Raw genomic sequence first — 19,743 nt, forward strand, 5'->3', positions numbered from 1 at the left:
CAAAAACACTGAAGGGACTGGCTTATTACAAAATAAAACGTAACATGTTTGATTTCTGGTTATTCTGTCACATATCGGTTTTTCTGGGGGGAAAAAATAAATTACATCTACTCATTTGGGAAGTGGTAACCCAAATAGTACATCTTACTCTGTTAAACACCAGGTTATCAAGAGTCTCAACACGGGAAACATAGTGATGATGGAAAGGCCATGTGAAGCCACAGCAAACAATGTATATTTGATGAAGTGTGTGCAGACTTTACCTGAATACAAGAGACAAAGGGTGGAAAGAAAGAGAAGGTGGTATTAAGAAAACGATTGAAGTCTTGAAGCAACTTTTGAGTGATGTTGTTTTTTTCAGACAGTGTCTTAAATTTATCCATCTCTTTCAAAATTCCAGAAAACAAGCTGCTAAAGAGCTGTTTTGCAATTATTGGGTCCCTCTGTAAAAAATTCAAAACAAAGACAAATTAGGATCTGAAGCAAAAATGCTATAAATCACCAATACTATCAGAGCTTGGAAAATACAAACTGTTGCAAACACATCTATTATACCTCTCAATTCTATTTGGAAAGACTTAGCAGGCATTGACAAGGGGAGCATTTGGAATTTAACCAAATGTATCTGTTTGATGTATGTTATGGAAACATGGACTTTTGGCCCAGAGAGATACATTTAAAAGCTGGCTTAATCAATACATAATGACATAGCTTCTCTCCTGAGTTAAGTCTGGGTCTCCAATCTTTAAATGGGGGCTACCAGAACACATCACATTGGGCTGCGGGGAAGATTAGCCCAGATAAAGTGCAGCCAGTGCTTAGTGCAGCACTTCATAAAATCTCAGAGAAAGATTAAATGTTTAGGTATTTTTCTCCTATCAGCACCATGGTAAAGCTTAAAATAACTGATGAGCTTAAATAAAATGCCAGTGTTAATTTTCAAGGTCCCACCACCTGACCACTTTAAACTATTGAAACCATCAAAGGCTTCTTCTGAGCATCAGCTCCCGCAAATAGCACACTACCTAATCATTTACAGCCCTAACCCTCGCACACTTCATGGCCACAGTATACTCCCTTTATTTATTCATGCTGTGACATCAGCGCCAACAACAGTTCCTGGCATATAGTGTCTATTTTTGCTAAATGGAGGCATGAAAGCATGATAAATAAAGTTTAAAAATTACTTTGTGTAATCTTCTAGGGATCTTCCCTGTTAATAAGTTTTCTATCATATTATAATTGACAGGTCAATTCTGTTAATATCTTTTTGTTAATTTTGCTACACGTTTGCCTCTGAAGGAGGTGAGACTTGTGCTGCTTTTTGGGATCATGTTCTTTTTTCATGTCTAAGACCTATTTTAATTATGTTTACAATATAATGATAATCCATTTTTGATGTTTTATGAACAAATTACATTATTAAATGAATGTTCTTAAATCAAGTGTGATTTTTGCATATTGTTGAAAAGAACATTAAAAGCAATGGTTTACACTTAAGTTACTATAGCCAAAAATTAAATACTTGAAAAGTTTACTGTGAAATTCTACTGATTTAAGATTATACTTAATATTTAAAAAATAAATCTAATCATCAAATGCAAAAAATTACTTTGATAAAAGCTATGTATGACTAAAACATACAAATTTGATTTATTCCTTATTGTTTATTTTAAGTAATATATTTATCTTGTTATAAGAAGTTCTAGTGATTACTATATAAAATTTTAGAAAATATGGCTAAATCAAAAGCACAATCCCGTTTACAACAGCCACAGAAAGAATAAAATACCTAGGAATACACTTAACCAAGAAGGTGAAAGATCTTTACAAGGAGAACTAAAAAACACTGCCGAAAGAAATCATAAAAGAATGACACAAATAAAGGGAAACACATTCCATATTCACGGATTAGAAGCATCAATATCGTTAAAATGGCCATTCTGCTCAAGGCAATCTACAGAATCAATGCTAATTCTATCAAACTACCAACATCATTTATCACAGAACTAGAAAAAACTATTCTAAAATTCATATGGAACCAAAAAAGAGCCCGTATAGCCAAAGCAATCCTAAGCAAAAAGAACAAAACTAGAAGCACCGCACTACCCAACTTCAAACAATACTATAAGGCTGCAGTAACCAAAAAGCATGGTACTGGTACAAAAACAGACACACAGACCAATGGAACAGAATAGAGCACCCAGAAAATGTGGTTTAGGAAAAAAGAAAATAAGTATCGCCCATAATTATACCATAAAGAGATAAGTCACTGGCATGTGTCTTTTACTGGTGTGTACACTTTTACACCTGTTTGGTAACCTGCTGTTTTTATGTAACACGTGGTAGACAGGTTTCCATGTCTACAATCCACTGATTCCTGAGTGCTAGGTACAAATTCCTTCATTTATGCTCCCTTTGTTCAGACAAATGCAGTGGTAATCCTGATAAATAACGATAAATAACGTCTTCAGCACTGATGATCTCAGAGTCTCCGCATGTGTAAAGAAGTCATGGAACTAGGAAATGGCAGAGCCAGGACTTGGAGCAAGGTCTTTATACCAAGTCCACCGTTGAGGACAAACCAACACCTCATCTATGTTGCAGGACAGCCTCAGCCATGTTTCCTCACATAGGCAAACCCCTGAACTGGAAACAGATTTTAACCTGTCAACAGAAAACGCAGCGGCAAAAACTGACCTGGGCCACGGCCTGTAACGGGGTGATGAGGCTGCTGTGCTTGATCTGAATGTCAGGAAGGTCTCCGTGCCGGTAGCTTCTGTACAGAACGACCTGGGCATCCTGCTTCATTTTTAACTCACTCTTGATTTCCTATAAGCACCAGAACCAAAGAAGAAGATGAGCATTCTCATTGAAGGAAACTAGTCGTGCATGAGCTATGAGGCTGCCAGGATCCCCTGAACCATGAGGGCGAAGTGGTGGGAACTGATGCTCGCAGAGGCTCAGTCGCCGTACTTTACCGTCTAGGGCAAACACTGCATCCAAAATAAAATCACTACACAACAAGCAGTGGAAAGGCTTTAAACATTCCCTATAATCAGAATATTTATAAAATCGGAAAATTTGATTTAGAAGTATTTAAAAACCGGCTGGAGAGCTGCATCTCTGGAAAGTCTCACTGAGAACGAGGCCGGCAGCCGGTCCCCACTTCCGCCCCAAGGTCCTGCCCTCCGGCTGCCTCTGCTCCCAGGCAGCTGCAGAGCCCAAAGCTCCCCTCCGAGGGGGCAAAACAGTGCCCCGGGGGCGCAGCCCGGGAGGCCTCAGGCTCCACAAGCATGGCTGGGCGGCAGGGCTTGGGGAGGGGGCCGGCACAGCGCCCCACTTCCAGGGCTTCACACCCAGATGTGGATGGAGCCGCTCCTGTGGCGGCGGCGGCTGGCGCTGAACTGGAGCACCGCGAGGGATTTTTCTTAACGATCCGTCCTACCCCCTTCTTACAAATGCATCCTAATGACCCATTTCTAGGCGGAATGGACGCCGCGGCTACGGAGTCTCCACGCCACGGGAAGGCCCTCCTGGCCACCTGTCCTCGGGGCACCGTGGGTCCCAGCCCCCAGCTGCCCTCCCGCCGCATTGGTCCCTGAAGCGAGGGCCAGTGAAGTCCTGCCAGGGCGCGGGCCTTGAGGTAGGCCTGGGATCAGCCGGCTGATCCCAGGCCGGCCACACTTCCACCCGCGGAGAGAACTGGGCGCACTCCTGGACCCCCACCAGAGCGCCATGAGGGCTGCATCCCTGTGGGGGAGCCCCAGGAGGCTGGTTTGGAGCAGTCCCGCAACCTGGTTTGCAGGTGACATTGGAGGCAGTGTCTGGCAGGAAGCCTGTTCACTTCGTCTGTATCCTGTGACAGAAACTGCATCGTTCTGATCAAATTCTTGACAAGATACAAACCTTCTCTCGTTTTTGCTCAGCAACGCCTTTTCTGGCATACATCAAACTGAGCTTCTCCTGGTCCCTCATAAACCGTCTGCGCAGTCGTAGTAGGTCCGTCCGGCCGGCCGCACCTGGAGAGGGAAAGCAGGCCCAGTTACTCCCCGCCGCCCAGACACTTGGCTCTGCTGGTTCATTTTCACCTCGGGTTTCCTCAAAGACAAAACCTACAGGTGCCGCAGAGGCAGCGACCGGGAGCAGGAGTGCAGGGGCCACAGCTGCAACTGGAACTGCTCAGCAGTGGATTCAGCAGGCATGAGCGCTGAACGGGCCAGGCCCCTCCAGAGGGAGGCCCAGGGAGGGCACGCAGCCACCTTCTGAACCCCCGCCCAACTCGCCTGGCAGTGCTTTGCCTCTGGCTAACTGAACTAGAGAGGAGCTGCCTCGGAGGCTTCAACACCTGGTGCAGACCAGCCTCCCTCGGGACTGTGGCAACCTGACCAGGGACAGGTGACCGCAACACTCCTAACCCGTATGATTCCAAATGCCTGTTTAGTACCCCACCAGGAGACACCAGCCTTAACCTCCAAATCACGACAGGTTCTAAGGAAAGTTTCAAATATGAACAACACAAGCCAAAGTAAGCAACAAGGAAAGAGCAACTGTTAAAAGCAGATCATGCAGGAAAAAATTTCAAAACATGATCATTTATCAGAAAGAGAAGAGTAGGAACTGAAGAAATGTTCAGAGCATGAAAAAAAGCTCATGGAAACTGAAACGTGTCATAACTTAAAAGCACAGGTTGAAAGATAAGGTTGAAGGGATTTCCCAGAAAAGAGGAAAAGGAAAAAATATGACACCTCAGAAGGACACTCACGCAGGTGAGATATCTAAGCACTAGGACTCCAAAAAGAGAAAACAGCAAACTGAGATGAAGAACTCAACAAAATCACCTGTGATGATGCTCCAGAACTGGAAGGTGAGAGTCAGCGGCCTGGAAGCTCCCGCCATATGCCCAGAAAAACAGACTGAAACGGATCTACGCCCAAGGACACTTGTGCGCAATGTCAGAACACTGGTTTAAAAGAGAAGATCCCGAGAGCATCCACAGAGAAAAGACCCACGTTCTCACAAAGCATCCCCAAGGAGGATGGCACCAGGCCTGGCGCCCGCAGCCCTGCAAAGCAGGGAGTCCAGGGGCCCCACGTATGGAGCTCCACAGCAGCACTCCCGCCAGACCACCAAGCCATCAGATCCCAGAGAAAGCTCCCTGCTGCTGACCCCATTCTCAGCACCCAGGTGGCTCCACCTGAACAACCGCCACCAGCACTCCTTCAACTCACAGCACATGCCAAAAGGTGGGCCACACTGACCTCTCCAGGTTCCATTTAGAGAACTGTGTGTGGGCCACAGGTTTGTGACTGAAAAGTATGAGAGAGTGGTGGAGTAAAGCAAGTTTTGTTGCCTGTGTTTCAGTTCCTACGATTAGATAAGAAGGCAGGGAGCTTTGCTTCTAAGTTCTTCTAAGTTTACTTCCACAGAGCTGAGCTTCCCTGCTGGCGCTCCCCCAGGGTTCTGTCATGGGCCCTTTCCTCTCTGCACATGTCCTTCCTCTGGGCCCTTGTTCCCTCCCAGAGCCTCACTTCTTTCTCACAAAAAGCTGCTTCCAGCCTCTCGGCACCCGTCTAGTTCTGGTCATCTGTTAGCCAAGACCAGGTCCTGGTGCCTGCCTCCAGTCCCCATCACTCCACTTCTGCCCCACACAAACCTCAGAGAAGGGCATTCAGTCCCCGTGCCTTCCTCTGCTCGGTGCGTTACAAGGCTGCTTCCTAAAGCTGAAGTTCGACATACACCCCCACACCCACAAGACTGTCCTCACAGCACCCTTTGCCGTTACTCTAGCATGCCCCGAAGCGTCCCTTCACCTGGACTGCAGAATCGATCTGAGCCTACCCACCCTGACACTTCTCCATCCCTGTCCTTTTCATCCTTTCCCTTCCTGCACCCCCAGCTCCAAGGCTCCTCTCAAATGCTCTTCCTCCACCCAGTCTTTTTGGACGCTCTCCTCATTCTCCACCTGTATTAAGCCCTCTAGCCCTAGACCATGCTTGCTAATTCCACCTCTTGTTACAATCACCCCTTTATAAATGCCTCACCCACTCTTACTGCTCCAGAAGATCACTCAACAATGGATCGAGTATAACTTACTGAAGGATTCTTCTGGAACTCCCAGAAAACAATTTCTTCAGCATGGTGAGTGCCTAGGCAACATTAACTGAATTTTAAAGGGCTTGATTACGAATGAGAAGGAAACATGGATACAGTCAGAAATGTCCCCAGACCTGAGCTCTGCAGTAATTTAGTGGGGAAGCTATTTTAAGCACACTCAGCAACCCAGCTTACCTTTCACTTTGTTATCCACCTCGTCCCCTGGAAGGCCCAGCCTTTTTTTCCCAAAATCAGGCCCCACTGACTTCAAGGGTGCTCTCTGTAACCTTTCACTCCTCTTGTGGGCAAACAGCAAGGAGTCAGATGAGGGACTGGTGTGGTCGACCAGCGGGTCAGTGCTGCTCCCGGTCAGCCAATCAAATGAGCTTCTTCCATCTGTGACATGCAATCAGAGAGGTCAGGCACTCAGCATCACCCAGCTCTGTGCACGGGGCAGGACCACCTGCCAGGACACACCTGGTGGCACCCTAGGCCTCCGTGCTCAACTCCAACCCTGGGCAGAGGCTCTGTCAGGTCCCAGGGTATGCCCCAAGGAAAACCAGGTACGTGCGCCTCAGTGCCCCTGGACCGCAGTGTCCCCATTTGTAAAGTAAGAAACACGCCACTTGCTCCCACCACAGGAATAACACTTTGTTATCTACTGAAAGGTGCTAAGAACCCCTGACTTTTTTTTTTTTTTTTTTTTTTGAGACGGAGTCTCGCTCTGTGGCCCAGGCTGGAGTGCAGTGGCGCGATCTCGGCTCACTGCAAGCTCCGCCTCCCGGGTTCACGCCATTCTCCTGCCTCAGCCTCCCGAGTAGCTGGGACTACAGGCGCCCGCTACCACGCCCGGCTAATTTTTTGTATTTTTAGTAGAGACGGGGTTTCACCGTGTTAGCCAGGATGGTCTCGATCTCCTGACCTCGTGATCCGCCCGCCTCGGCCGCCCAAAGTGCTGGGATTACAGGCGTGAGCCACAGCGCCCGGCCCCCTGACTTCTAATATTAGTGTCACAGAATTTCAATTGTGATTATTCATATTAGTCCCACTTCCAGAACCAACAAAATGTGCAAAAAAATTACACAAAGGAGAAACGTTAAAGAGTTTATATAAAAGGATTAAGATATGTTACTCTACAATTTGTACTTTGCTCATCAAAGGAAGCAGTTAAACCATCTGAGAAAGAACAGTTTAATAACTATAAATCTAGTAAATGAATTTGGTTTACCTCTACTCTGCTTTGGTGATAAGATGTCTTAAATTTGCTACACTATGTTTTTCTGTACCAAACCAAAACCAAAACATACATATACTGAAACTTTCCCTGATCTTTCTGGTCAGAAATAATCCATTTCTTTTTTAGAAAAATTGTAGCAAAACAGGCTGGGCGTGGTGGCTCACAAGGTCAGGATATCTAGACCATCTGGCCAATGTGGTGAAATCCCATCTCTACTAAAATACAAAAATTTAGCCAGGCGAGGTGGTGCGCGCCTGTAGTTCCAGCTACTCAGGAGGCTGAGGCAGAGGAATCGCTTGAACCCAGGAGGCAGAGGTTGCAGTGAGCCAAGATCGTGCCACTCACTCCAGCTCCAGCCTGGTGACAGAGCAGGACTCTGTCTCAAAAAAAAAAAAAAAAAAAAAAAAAAAAAGGAAAATATACATAAAATTTACCATTTCAATCATTCTTAGGTGCACAGTTCAATGGCATTAAGGACATTTACGCTGCTGTACAACCATCAACATCTTCCATGTCCAGAGTTGCTTTTTGGTTTTTTTTTTTGAGACAGGGCCTTGCTCTTTTGCCCAAGGCAGGGTGCAGTGGCGTGATCACAGATCACTGCAGCCTTGAACTTCTGGGCTCGAGCCATTCCCCGCCTCAGCTTCCCCCGTAGCTGGGACTAACTACAGGCGTGCGCCACCATGCCCAGCTAATTTGTAAAATTGTTTTGTAGAGATGGAGTCTTTCCATGTTGCCCAGGCTGGTGCGGAACTCCTGGGCTCAACTGATCCTCCTGCCCCAGCTGGAATAACAGGAATGAGTCACTGCACCCTGCCTCCACAGCACTTTTCCTCTTGCAAAACTGAAATTCTGTACCCATTAAACTATAAATCCCCATTCCTCCTCCCCAGACCCTGGCACCTGGCACTCTACTTTCTGTTTCCATGAGTTTGACTGTTATAGGAACCCCCTCTTTTGAATGACATCTTCCTTGGGTTCTTAACGCTTTTTGCTATTATCCCTTACTTCTCTCACAAAAGCCCAACACTGTTGTGACAGAAGCTGCCCACAGAGGTCAGGGTGCTGTATACATGGCCAGCGGGCAGGGTCACTGTTACCTGCAGTCTGTGTCAGTGTGAAGTCATGCTGCTGCTGGGTGGCCCTTATCTGCCCTGCCACTGGCCAGCGAGCTGAGAGGGACCCTTCCTGGGTACGGGTCTGGAGAGTGCCCTGGGAGGCCTGGGTCTCCACAAACATCGGAGTGAGAACAGTACTTCGGAAACGCCAATCAGAATCAATGGTATATTCCTGTACATAAGAAAGTTTCAAATGAAATAAAGTTTCAAATGAAATAATGCTCCTTTTTTAGGAACACTGATATATTTCTATTTAAAATCTAATGGTACCATCAGCATATTTGTACCATAACTTCATATGCAGCTGAAGAAGAACCTTCTCTAATTTAAAAGTTTTAACTGATTTGCCAACTAGAAAAACTAGTTAACTATCGAGTGAGAAAACCCAGCTTTCTTAATGTTTGCATAAAAAGGTTTGATATCATGCTCAGCACCACAACCCAAATGCAATGAGTCAAGCGACCCAGCTTGTCCACATACACACGTGCCACTGGGACAGATCCTGAGCTTGTGAGTGGGACAGGAGGGGCCCTACCCCAGGAGCTCCCTGCAACCTGCCCATCATCCCACTGTTTAGGCTGCTGCGAGACAGGACAAGCTCAGCATCCACTGTGGATTGGGAGGAATGAGGGGAGGGAAAGCAATGGCGATCCTGACAAGGGAAATCTAGTGGAGGCCAAGAGGGTGAGGCCAGTGGACCTCCAGGTGGCTGAAGCAGAGGCACGAGCCTTCCCTTTCCTTTTCAGAAAGGAATGTGTATTCTGAGAAGGCAAAGAGCCAGTCAAAGCTATTAAAAATGTTCATGAACAGGAAAAGCCTATAATATTCACTACTATGAGAGAGAAGACCACATTACCTGAAATTCGCATTCTGACAGAGGATGCTCGAACATGGGGTTTGGATAATCTGGGCTCATGCTGGTCATTTCGAGCAGAAAATTTGTTGCTAAACTTAAAAAGTGCACTTCTATCTTAGGAGAATATAAGGAATTTAGTGCCAGCAACCGGTCCAAGGTATTTGAAGGTAACCTAGTTTCATGGCTCCAGAAATTTCGAATAATTAATCTGAAAAGCAAAGAGAAAAAAGTATATTGCTTAGACAATGGCAAATGGGAAAGAATGTGCTGTACAGGGTGTCCTGTGGAGAAGGCACAGCTCTTCACCCACATGAAGCTTAACAGAGAGGGAAACCACCTTCAACTATATCAAAAATATAGTCTGAGTTATGAAACATATCCACTGAAGGAAGAGAATATTACAAAAAATGTAGCATATTTTTTATGCCACAGAGGGGAGGGGAGAAACTGGGTGATTTTATTCTCTTATCTCTATTCTCTGGGAAGTTTTCAACGATGAGTACATAATATTAACTATTTGAAACAAAAAAAAAAAATTTAAGAAATTACACAAAATCCTTCACTGCCTTGCCAAAACAATCCATTATAAAAATTACTGCCATAAAATACTCAAAACATATATTAATTAAATACCAAATTAGGGGTCAGGTGCAGTGGCTCAGGCGTGTAATCCCAGCACTTTGGGAGGCTGAGGTGGGTGGATCACCTGACTTCAGGAGTTCAAGACCAGCCTGACCAACATGGTGAAACCCCGTCTCTACTAAAAATACAAAAATTAGCTGGGCATGGTGGCACCCACCTGTAGTCCCAGCTACTCGGGAGGCTGAGGCAGGAGAATCGCTTGAACCTAGGAGGCGGAGGTTGCAATGAGCTGAAATCATGCTACTGCACTCCAGCCTGGGTGACAGAGTGAGACTCCATCTCAAAAAAATAAAATAAAATAAATGTATGTATGTAGTTGGTGCACATACATACATACATACCAAATTAGGTCTTATAATTTATGAATGCATATGAAATCCAAATACAATTTTAAGAAGCTCAATGAATTTAAAATTATAGCAGAATGGAAAAATAAGTAATATACAGAAACATATAAAAAGTATATGGCTTCTTATATTGAGGCTGGGTGCAGTGCTCACACTTAAAATCCCGGCACTTTGGCAAACCAAGTCAGGAGGATTGAGGCCAGGCATTGAAGCCTAACTTGGGTAACATAGCAAGACCCTATCTTTACAAAAAATAAAAAATCAGCCAAGCCTGTTGGCGTTATGCCTGTAGTCCCAGCTACTCAGGAGGCTGAGGGAGGAGGATCATACGAACCCAGGAGTCAGAGGCTACAGTGAGCTACAGTTACACTACTGCACTCCAGCCTGGGTGCCAGAGCAAGACCTCATCTCTAAAAAACATAATAATAATAAAAAGTTTACCCCTCTTCTTATATAATCAGTATTTGGTAAGAAACACATATAACTGACTTACTCAGGACAGGCATTTTAGAGGGTAACAATCATCATTCACACTTTCATATATAACTAATATTACAGTTTCCTCTCATTTCTAAAGTTTCAAACACTTTATTTTCAACATTAATACTTACAGCATGATCTCAACTATGTGTGTTAAATGGGAAACAGAAGAATTGTCATTACAGACTTTCTTTTCATTTTGAAACACTTTAACTCACTGCCCTACCATACAGCATTTGGTCCATATGACTTTTTCAAGAGTGTTATTTTTAAGTTGTCAGGATTGTAAAGCCTTACTCTTCATAATGTGCTTTAAAATACTCTTTTACTAAATATTGTGAAATGCAGAAAGCAGAGAAAATGCTAATACTGCAAATACATTTCTAAAACTCCTGAAAAATACTCTATGCTACCTTTGAAAGCAATACCCTTAACATTTAATTGTCCCAGCCCAGTTATTCACGTACTGAAGTCCAGGGTTCTCATCGATCAATCCTTGAATCAGCACATCTTTTGCCAACTTAAATATTTCCTGGGAGTCATTATCTGTCTCACTTTCTGGATCTCTGCTTGAGAAAACAGCAAAATGTCACAACATTAATGCTCTCTTCTGGCCCTTTTGTTCAACTACAGTAACACCATCTAGAATTCAATTTTAAAAGGCTTGTTTTCCCATTAGACTTTAGATCTCCAAATCACAGCTTGCCCCACTCATGGGTGTGTGCACAAGCCTTGAGAACCCATCCTTGCTCCCAGCAGGAGCTGAGTGGAACAGGAGGATGGGCCCACAGGAGGCCCAGCGGTCCTGTGACGCTCAGCTGTGGTGGTGTGGTAGTGCCCGGTGGTCCTGGCAGAGTTCATCTCCTTAGTCTTTGCAAGATCTTAAAAGGACAACTATGAAAATAGGTTTTATAAGCACAACACCACACTTTTTCACTCTGATTTTTTCACACACATATGTGAAATGAGTTTTTAAAAGGATACAATTAGATATACCAAAATACATGTTTTAATTATTAATCATATGGTAAAAAAAAATGTGTTATTATGTTCCAGATTGCTAAGGGGACCCAAATGATCCCTAAAATGTTAATGTTGCCCAGGCAACAAGGTGAAACCCCGTCTCCACAAAAAATAAACAAAATTAGCCAGGTATGGTGGTGCACACCCATAGACCCAGCTACGCAAAAGGCTGAGATGGAAGGATCAACTGAGCCCAGGAGGAGGTTGAGACTGCAGTGACCTGTGTTTGTGCCCCTGTACTCCAGCCTCGTCGACAGAGCAAGACCTTATCTCAAAAAAGTAACAAAATAAAATAGTCAATGTATAGCTTACCTGTAATTATCATGAATCCACATGAGAATATTATACATTTGTTCCCTACATGTTGTAGAAGGATGGGAAACGAATTCCACAACGGGGTTCAGAAGTTCTCGGAGTTCTACTGGTTTTAACTTTGGCATCATCTTATAAATTATGTCCAAACATACTTTTTGTCTTTCATCATCTCTATGGGAGAGATTTTAAAAACACACAAATTTAGCTATTTTTATTATTGCACTTTCAAAGTATGACAGGCAACTTTTTCTTCTTTGTTTCAAAATTAGTTATAATAGATAACGCTACACTTATATAAAACTTATATTCTTAAAATGATCATGGACTAGATTATCAAATATAAGACAAATTACTTCATGTGCTACCCTACACTGGATCCTGAAATAGAAAAAGGATATTAGAAGGAAATTGGTGAAATGGAAGTAAAGTCTAGTTTGGTAAATAGTAATGTTCTAATGTTAATTTCTTACTTTTGACAAATGTACCAAGATTATGTAAGGGGGAAAGTTGGGTAAAGGGTGTATATGGAAATTATGTGTACTATCTTTCAACTTTTCTGTAAATGCAAAATTACTTCAATATAAAAAGTTTATTTTTAGAAAAACCTAATAATGGCAAAGTATTTTTTAAAAGGACTTCAAGAGCTACCTGGCATGGTGTATAGTGAAGTACAATCTGAGCTCTAAATGAGGCAAATATCTATTTCCTTATTTTGACTCCTTATAGCACCCAGCTGAATGCTTCATACAGTAGATACTCAGTGAATGTAAGGATATTAGGACAGTGACATACATTTTTTGTTACTGACACAATGCATGTTTATTGCTGTGTAAAAATATTTACATAGGAGGGGGACAAGATGGCTGAATAGACATAGCCAGGAGGGCCTCTCCCACCAAAACAGAGCAAAATGAGTAAACCAACATGCTTCGAAGACATCTTTGGAAAGAAAGCACTGAGCATCAATAGAGAGGCAACACAGACACTGAGGCTGAAGAGGGAGGAAGCTGGGAAGCCTGCACAGTCTCCGGGTGCCAGGACCTGGCCCTAATCAGGTCCTAAGGAAGGGGTGAGTGGAGTGACTATATGGGGCAATCCACGCTCGCCGTGGAGCTCTGGGATACTAGCCACAAGAGATCCCACAACCCCAAAGACATTTGAATTGGTAGGGAACTGTCAGAGAGAAGGCACAGGCAGAGCACCAGCCTATGTGGAGCCCAGCAGGTCTCACTCAGTGTGGAGCAGCTCCAGCAAATGCAACCCCAGGCACCCATGCCCCCAGGTTCTCACCTTGCTCTGAGTCACTCTATCCCCTGCTGAATGCTGGGCTGGGAAAGAGCAGGGCTGTCCTTCCTGTGGGTCTGGGGAGAGGCTGATCTACACGCCTATCTGTCAACTTCCCAGGCACTCCCAACCCCAGCTGCTCCCACAAGAGCATACACACAGCATAGCCTCCATTACCCAGCCTGAGTGCTTTGCCAGTGGCCTTGGAGCACTTCGGCAACCCCAGCACAGTGCTTGATTCCAAGGGGACAGAGGACAAAGCTGTGGGCCTGGTCTCAGCCCCCCAGGGTCTAAGCACATCGTTCAGGAATACAGAGCTGAGATCTGTGGCCAGAACTTAAGCTCTGCTTAGAACACTGAGTAGAGTGAGACGTGGGTTTGTGTTCCAGCATGAGTGCTGGGTAAGTCCCCTTCCACAAGGCTGGTCTGGGAAGGGTGAGGCCTGTTTGCCAGCTTTGCATCTGCCTGAGGGACCCTGTGGCCTGAAACACCTAACAGCCCAGTGATCTGGGCGCAGAAAGCATGGCATAAAACTGGCTGGTCAGGCTAGCTACAAGGGCAGACACCAGCAGACTTGGTCAAGGGAACGTGAACTGGGCAGTCCCCACAACTGTGTGCTGGGCAAAAAACCCCAGGCTGTGGGCACCTCACCAGCTGCACAACCACGACAACATCACCCTGCCCTGAGATCCCCCACCCTTGACCTACTATACCAACAGACCACCCAGAGACATACCCCACAACCCTCTCTGACTTTGCCAAGCACAGAGGACCAGTGGGCCTCTGGAATGCTGCAGGTCTCCTGGTGACCTAACCTTCAGCTCAGGCTACTGCTAAGGGATGGGGAGTGCAGCCCACCAGGGCCCCCCTTGGGGTTCAGGAAATGTGGGTATGGTGCCAGTGATTGGAAGGGGCTCCTCTAAGGCCTGGGAATGAACTTGGTGAGGGGGTCATCTCCCTTCCCCTACCCCCAGCACAGAGCACTGTGCTGAACGCACTGTAATCTAAGAGTCTATCTGCTAGCCCTTATCCTTAAGCACCATATACTGGATCATAGTCTGAATTATATCACTAAAAAAAATTCTTCTAGTATCCATCACCTGTGAAACCCAATGCAGGAACCTAGAGAGATCCTATACAGGAGAGATCCTATACAGAGCCTCAGGAGAGCCTATACAGAGCCTCAGCCAGCTGAGAACACCCAGAAAGGGAGCCAGTTGACTATACTCAGCATACACCACAGTCAAACCCTCAAGGAAAATGATGAATAAGAAAACAAAAGGTCCCATCCAAGCAGAAGCAACTCCAAAAAGATAAAGGAACACCAGCCCTCTCAGATGAGAAAGAATTTGTGCAAACACTCTGGCAATTCAAAGTATCTTCTCACCTCCAAACAACTGTCCTAACCTCTCAGCAATGGTTTGCAGACAGATTGAAATGGCTGAAATGACAGAAATAGAATTCAGAATCCGGATGGCGAGAAAGCTCAAGATCCAGGAGAAGGCTGAAATTCAATCCAAGAAATCCAGTAAAATGATTCAAGAGTCAAAAGGCAACATAGCCATTTTAAGAATGAACAAGCCAGGCGTGGTGGATCACACCTGTAATCCCCACCACTTTGGGAAGCTGAGGCAGGTAGATTGCTTCAGTTGGGGAGTTTGAGACCAGCCTGGGCAACATGATGAAACCCCATCTCTGCAAAAATATAAATCATTAGCTGGGCATGGTGGTGCATGCCTGTGGTCCCAGCTCCTCAGGAGACTGAGATGGGAGGATCACCTGAGCTTGAGAGGTCGAGGCTGCAGCAGTAAGTCACGGCCACAACCACTGCACTTCGGCCTGGGTTACACAGCAAGACCCTGTCGAAAACAAAACAAAGGAAAAGAAAAGAAAAGGAACCAAACTGAACTTCCGGTTTTGAAAGATTCACTACAGGAATTTCATAATACAGTTGGAAACATTAACAAAAGAATAGACCAAGCTAAGGAAAGAATCTCAGAGCTTGAAGACCAGTCCTTCAAATCAACCCAGTCAGAAAAAAATAAAGAAAAAAGAATTTTTAAATAAAATCTCTAAAAAATAATGGATTATGTAAAAATCCATTATATGTAAAAAGAACCAAACCTATGACTTATTGGAATTCCTGAAAGAGACAACTTGGAAAATATATTTGAGGATATAGTCCATGAAAATGTTCCCTATCTCACTAGAGGTAGGTGGGCATGCAAATTCAAGAAATTCATAGAACCCCTGTGACATACTATACAAGACCATCCCCAAGACACATAGTTATCAGATTTTCCAAGGTCGATGTGAAAGAAAAAATTTTAAAGGCAGCTAGAAATAAGGGTCAGCTCACATACTGAGAGAACCCCATCAGGCTACCAGCGGGCCTCTCAGCAGAAACCTTAAAAACCAGAAGAGACTGGGGCCTATTTTCAGCATCCTTGAAGAAAACAAATTCCAACCAAGAATTTAATATCCTGCCAAACTAAGTTTCATAAGGAAAGAAAAAATAAAGTCCTTTTCAGACAAGGAAACATTAAGGGAATTTGTTACTATTAGACCTGTCTTGTAAGAGGTCCTTAAGGGAGTGCTAAACATGAAACAGAAGAACAATACCTGCTACCACAAAAACATACTTAAGTACATAGCCCACAGATACTATAAAGCAACTACACAGTTAAGTCTACAAAACAACCAGGTAACAACACGACAACAGGATCAAAACCTCACATATCAATATAAACCTTGAATGTAAATGGTCTAAAGGCCCCTCTTAAAAGCCACGCAGTGGCAAGTTGGATTTAAAAAAATAAAACTCAACTATCTTCTCTCTTCAAGAGACCCATCTCACATGTAACAACACCCACAGGCTCAAAGTAAAAGGATGGAGAAAGATCTATCACAAAAACAGAAAATGAAAAAGTGCAGCAGTCACTATTCTTTTATCAGATAAAATAACTTTAAACCAACAATAGTTAAAAAGGACAAAAAAGGACATTACATAATGCCAAAGGGTTCAATTCAATAAGAAGACTTAACTATACTACATATATAAGTACCTAACTTTGGAGCACCCAGATTCATAAAATAAGTTCTTTTAGATCTATGAAGAGACTTACACAGGCACTCAATAATAGTGGGAAACTAACACTCTACTGACAGTGTTAGATAGATCAGGAAGGCAGAAAACTAACAAATTCTGGACTTAAACTCAACACTTGAACAATCGGACCCAATACATCTACAGCATACTCCACCTAATATACCAGAATATACATTCTTCTCATCTGCACATGGAACATACTCTAAGATCAACCACATGCTCAGCCATAAAGCAAGCCTCAATAAATTAAAAAAAAATTCAAAATCATACCAAGCACACACTCAGACCACAGTACAATAAAAATAGAAATCAATACCAAGACCTCTCAAAACCATACAATTACATAAAAATTAAACAACCTACTCCTAAATGACTATTGAGAAAACAACAAAATTAAGGCAAGAATCAAAAAATTTTTTTCAATTAAGGAAAACAGGGACACTAAATGCCTACATCAAAATGCTGGAAAGACCTCAAATCAATAATCAAACATCGCATATAAACTAGAAAAATAAGAACAAACCAAGTCCGGGTGCAGAGGCTGATGCCTGTACCCACTTTGGGAGGTTGAGGCAGGAGGATCATTTGAGGTCAGGAGTTTGAGACCAGCCTGACCAACATAGTGAAACCCTGTCTCTACTTAAAATACAAAAAAATTAGCCAGGCGTGGTGGTGTGCACCTCTAGTCCCAGCTACTCAGGAAAGAGGCTGAGGCAAAAGAATAGCTTGAACCCGGGAGGTGGAGGTTGCAGTGAGCCGAGATCGCTACCACTGCACTCCAGCCTGGGCAACACGGTGAGACTCCACCTTAAAACCAACCAAAACAAAACAAACCAACCCTAAAGACAGCAGAAGAAAAGAAATAACCAAAATCCAGAGTGGAATTGAATGAAATTGTGATCCAAAAATCTACACAAAGATTCAACAAAACCAAAAGTTGATTATTTGAAAGAATAAACGAGATAGACCACAAGCTAGATCAATAGAGGGAGACAGAGACAGACAGACAGAAGATCTAAATAAGCACAATAAGAAATGACAAAGATAACATCATACCTGATCCCACAGCAATACAAAAGATCCTCAGAGACTATTGTGAACACTCTACGTAAGCAAATTAGGAAACCTAGAGGAAATAGATACATTCCTGGAAACATACAACCTCCCAAGATTGAACCAGAAATTAAAAACAAACAAACAAACAAACAAACAAAAACCTGAACAGACCAATCAGGAGCTCCTAAATTAAATCAATAATGAAAAAAACTTACCAAGCAAAAAAAAAAAAAGCAGAAAACAAAAAACCCAGGGCAGATGGATTCACAGCTGAATTCTACCAGACATACAAAGAATTGGTACGAATCCTACTGAAACTATTTCACAAAACCAAGGAGGAAGGACTCCTCCCTGACTCATTCTCTGAAGCCAGCATCATCCTGATACCAAAATCTGGCAGGACACAATGAAAAAAGAAAACGTCAGGCCAAATCCCTGATGAACACAGATGAAAAAATCCTCAACGAAATACTAGCAAATTGAATCCAACAACACAACTAAAAGTCAATGCGTGACAATCAAGTGTGCTTTATTCCTAGAATGCGAGGTTGGTTCAACATACACAAATCAATAATGTGATTCACCACATAAACAGAATTAAAAACAAAAGCCATATGATCATTTCAATAAATGGAGAAAAAGCTTTCAATAAAATCCAACATTCTGGGCCAGGTGCAGTGGCTCACGCCTATAATCCTAGCACTTTGGGAAGCTGAGATGGATGGATCATTTGAGGTCAGGAGTTCGAGACCAGCCTGGTCAACATGATAAAACCCTGTCTCTACTAAAAATACAAAAATTAGCCAGGCATGGTGGCATGTGCCTGTAATCCCACTTACTCAGGAGGCTGAGGCAGGAGAATCGCTTAAACCTGGGAGGCAGAGGTTGCAGTGAGCTGAGGTCACGCCACTGCACTCCAGCCTGGGTAACAGAGGGAGACTCTGCCTCAAAAAAAAAAAAAAAAGAAAAAGAAAAAAATCCAACATCCTTGCATGATAAAAACCCTCAACAAACCAGGCATCAAAGGAATATTCCTCAAAATAATAACAATCATCTATGACAAACCCACAGCCTACATGATACTGAATGATGGTAAAAACTGGAAGCATTCCCCTTGAAAACTGGAAAAGACAAGGATGCCCACTCTCATCACTCCTATTCAACACAGTACTCAAAGTCCTACACAGAACAATCAAGCAAGAGAAAGAAATAAAACATATTCAAATAGGAAAAGAAGAAATCAAACTATTCCTCTTCTCTGATGGTATGATTCTATACCCAGAAAACCCTAAAGACTCTGACAAAACGTTCCTAGAACTGATAAATGACTTGAGTAAAGTTCTAGGATACAAAATCAATGTACAAAAATCAGTAACATTTCTATACACCAATAACATTACAGCTGAGATCCAAATCAAGAATGTAAGCCTATTTACAATAGCAAAGAAAAGAATAAAACACCTAAGAATACAGCTAACCAAGGAGGTGAAAGATCTCTACAAGGAGGACTATAAAACACTGCTGAAAGAAATCAGAGATGATACAAATAAATGAAAAAACGGATTAGAAGAATCAATATTGTTAGAATAGCCATTCTGCCCAAAGCAATCTACAGATTCAATGCTATTCCTATCAAACTACCTATGTCACTTTTCACAGAATTGGAAAAAACTATTCTAAAATTCATATGAAACCAAAAAAGAGCCCGAATAGCCAAAACAATTCTAAGCAAAAAGAACAAAGCCAGAACATCGTATTACCCAACTTCACTATACTACAGGGATACAATAATCAAAACAGCATGGTACTGGTCGGGGGAAAAAACAAAATACAAAAAAACACAGACACACAGACCAATAGAACAGAATGGAGAACCCAGAAATAAAGCCGAACCATCTGATCTTTGACAAAGTCAACAAAAATAAGCTGTGGGGAAAAGATGCCTCATTCAATAAATGGTGCTAACTGGCTAACCATATGCAAAAGAATGAAACTAGAGCCCTGCCTATCACCACATAAAAAAATTAAGATGGATTACAGACTTCAATGTAAGACTTCAAATTACAAAAATACTAGAAGAAAATCTAGGAAATACCCTTCTCAATATCAGCCTTAGCAAAGAATTTATGACTAAGTTCTAAAAAGAAACTGCAACAAAAACAAAAATTGACCAGCAGGAC

At 43.2% G+C, this 19,743-nt stretch overlaps 1 protein-coding gene across 2 annotated transcripts in view; it reads right to left on the reverse strand.

The window, feature by feature from the left end:
* The window catches only part of PRKDC (protein kinase, DNA-activated, catalytic subunit), a 187,026-nt gene that overhangs the window by 54,794 nt on the left and 112,489 nt on the right, over nt 1-19,743 (reverse strand). For both annotated transcript variants that reach the window (NM_001081640.2, NM_006904.7), the window contains exons 55-62: nt 12,112-12,285; nt 11,244-11,342; nt 9,308-9,515; nt 8,434-8,623; nt 6,292-6,492; nt 3,910-4,022; nt 2,701-2,832; nt 264-443 (exon numbers count right to left, since the gene is read on the reverse strand). In NM_001081640.2, the coding sequence (NP_001075109.1) occupies nt 264-443; nt 2,701-2,832; nt 3,910-4,022; nt 6,292-6,492; nt 8,434-8,623; nt 9,308-9,515; nt 11,244-11,342; nt 12,112-12,285 (1,297 nt within the window). The remainder of the gene's footprint in view (nt 1-263; nt 444-2,700; nt 2,833-3,909; nt 4,023-6,291; nt 6,493-8,433; nt 8,624-9,307; nt 9,516-11,243; nt 11,343-12,111; nt 12,286-19,743) is intronic.

This window comes from Homo sapiens, chromosome 8 (genome assembly GCF_000001405.40).
Source record: "Homo sapiens chromosome 8, GRCh38.p14 Primary Assembly".
Classification (NCBI taxonomy): Eukaryota; Metazoa; Chordata; class Mammalia; order Primates; family Hominidae; genus Homo; species Homo sapiens.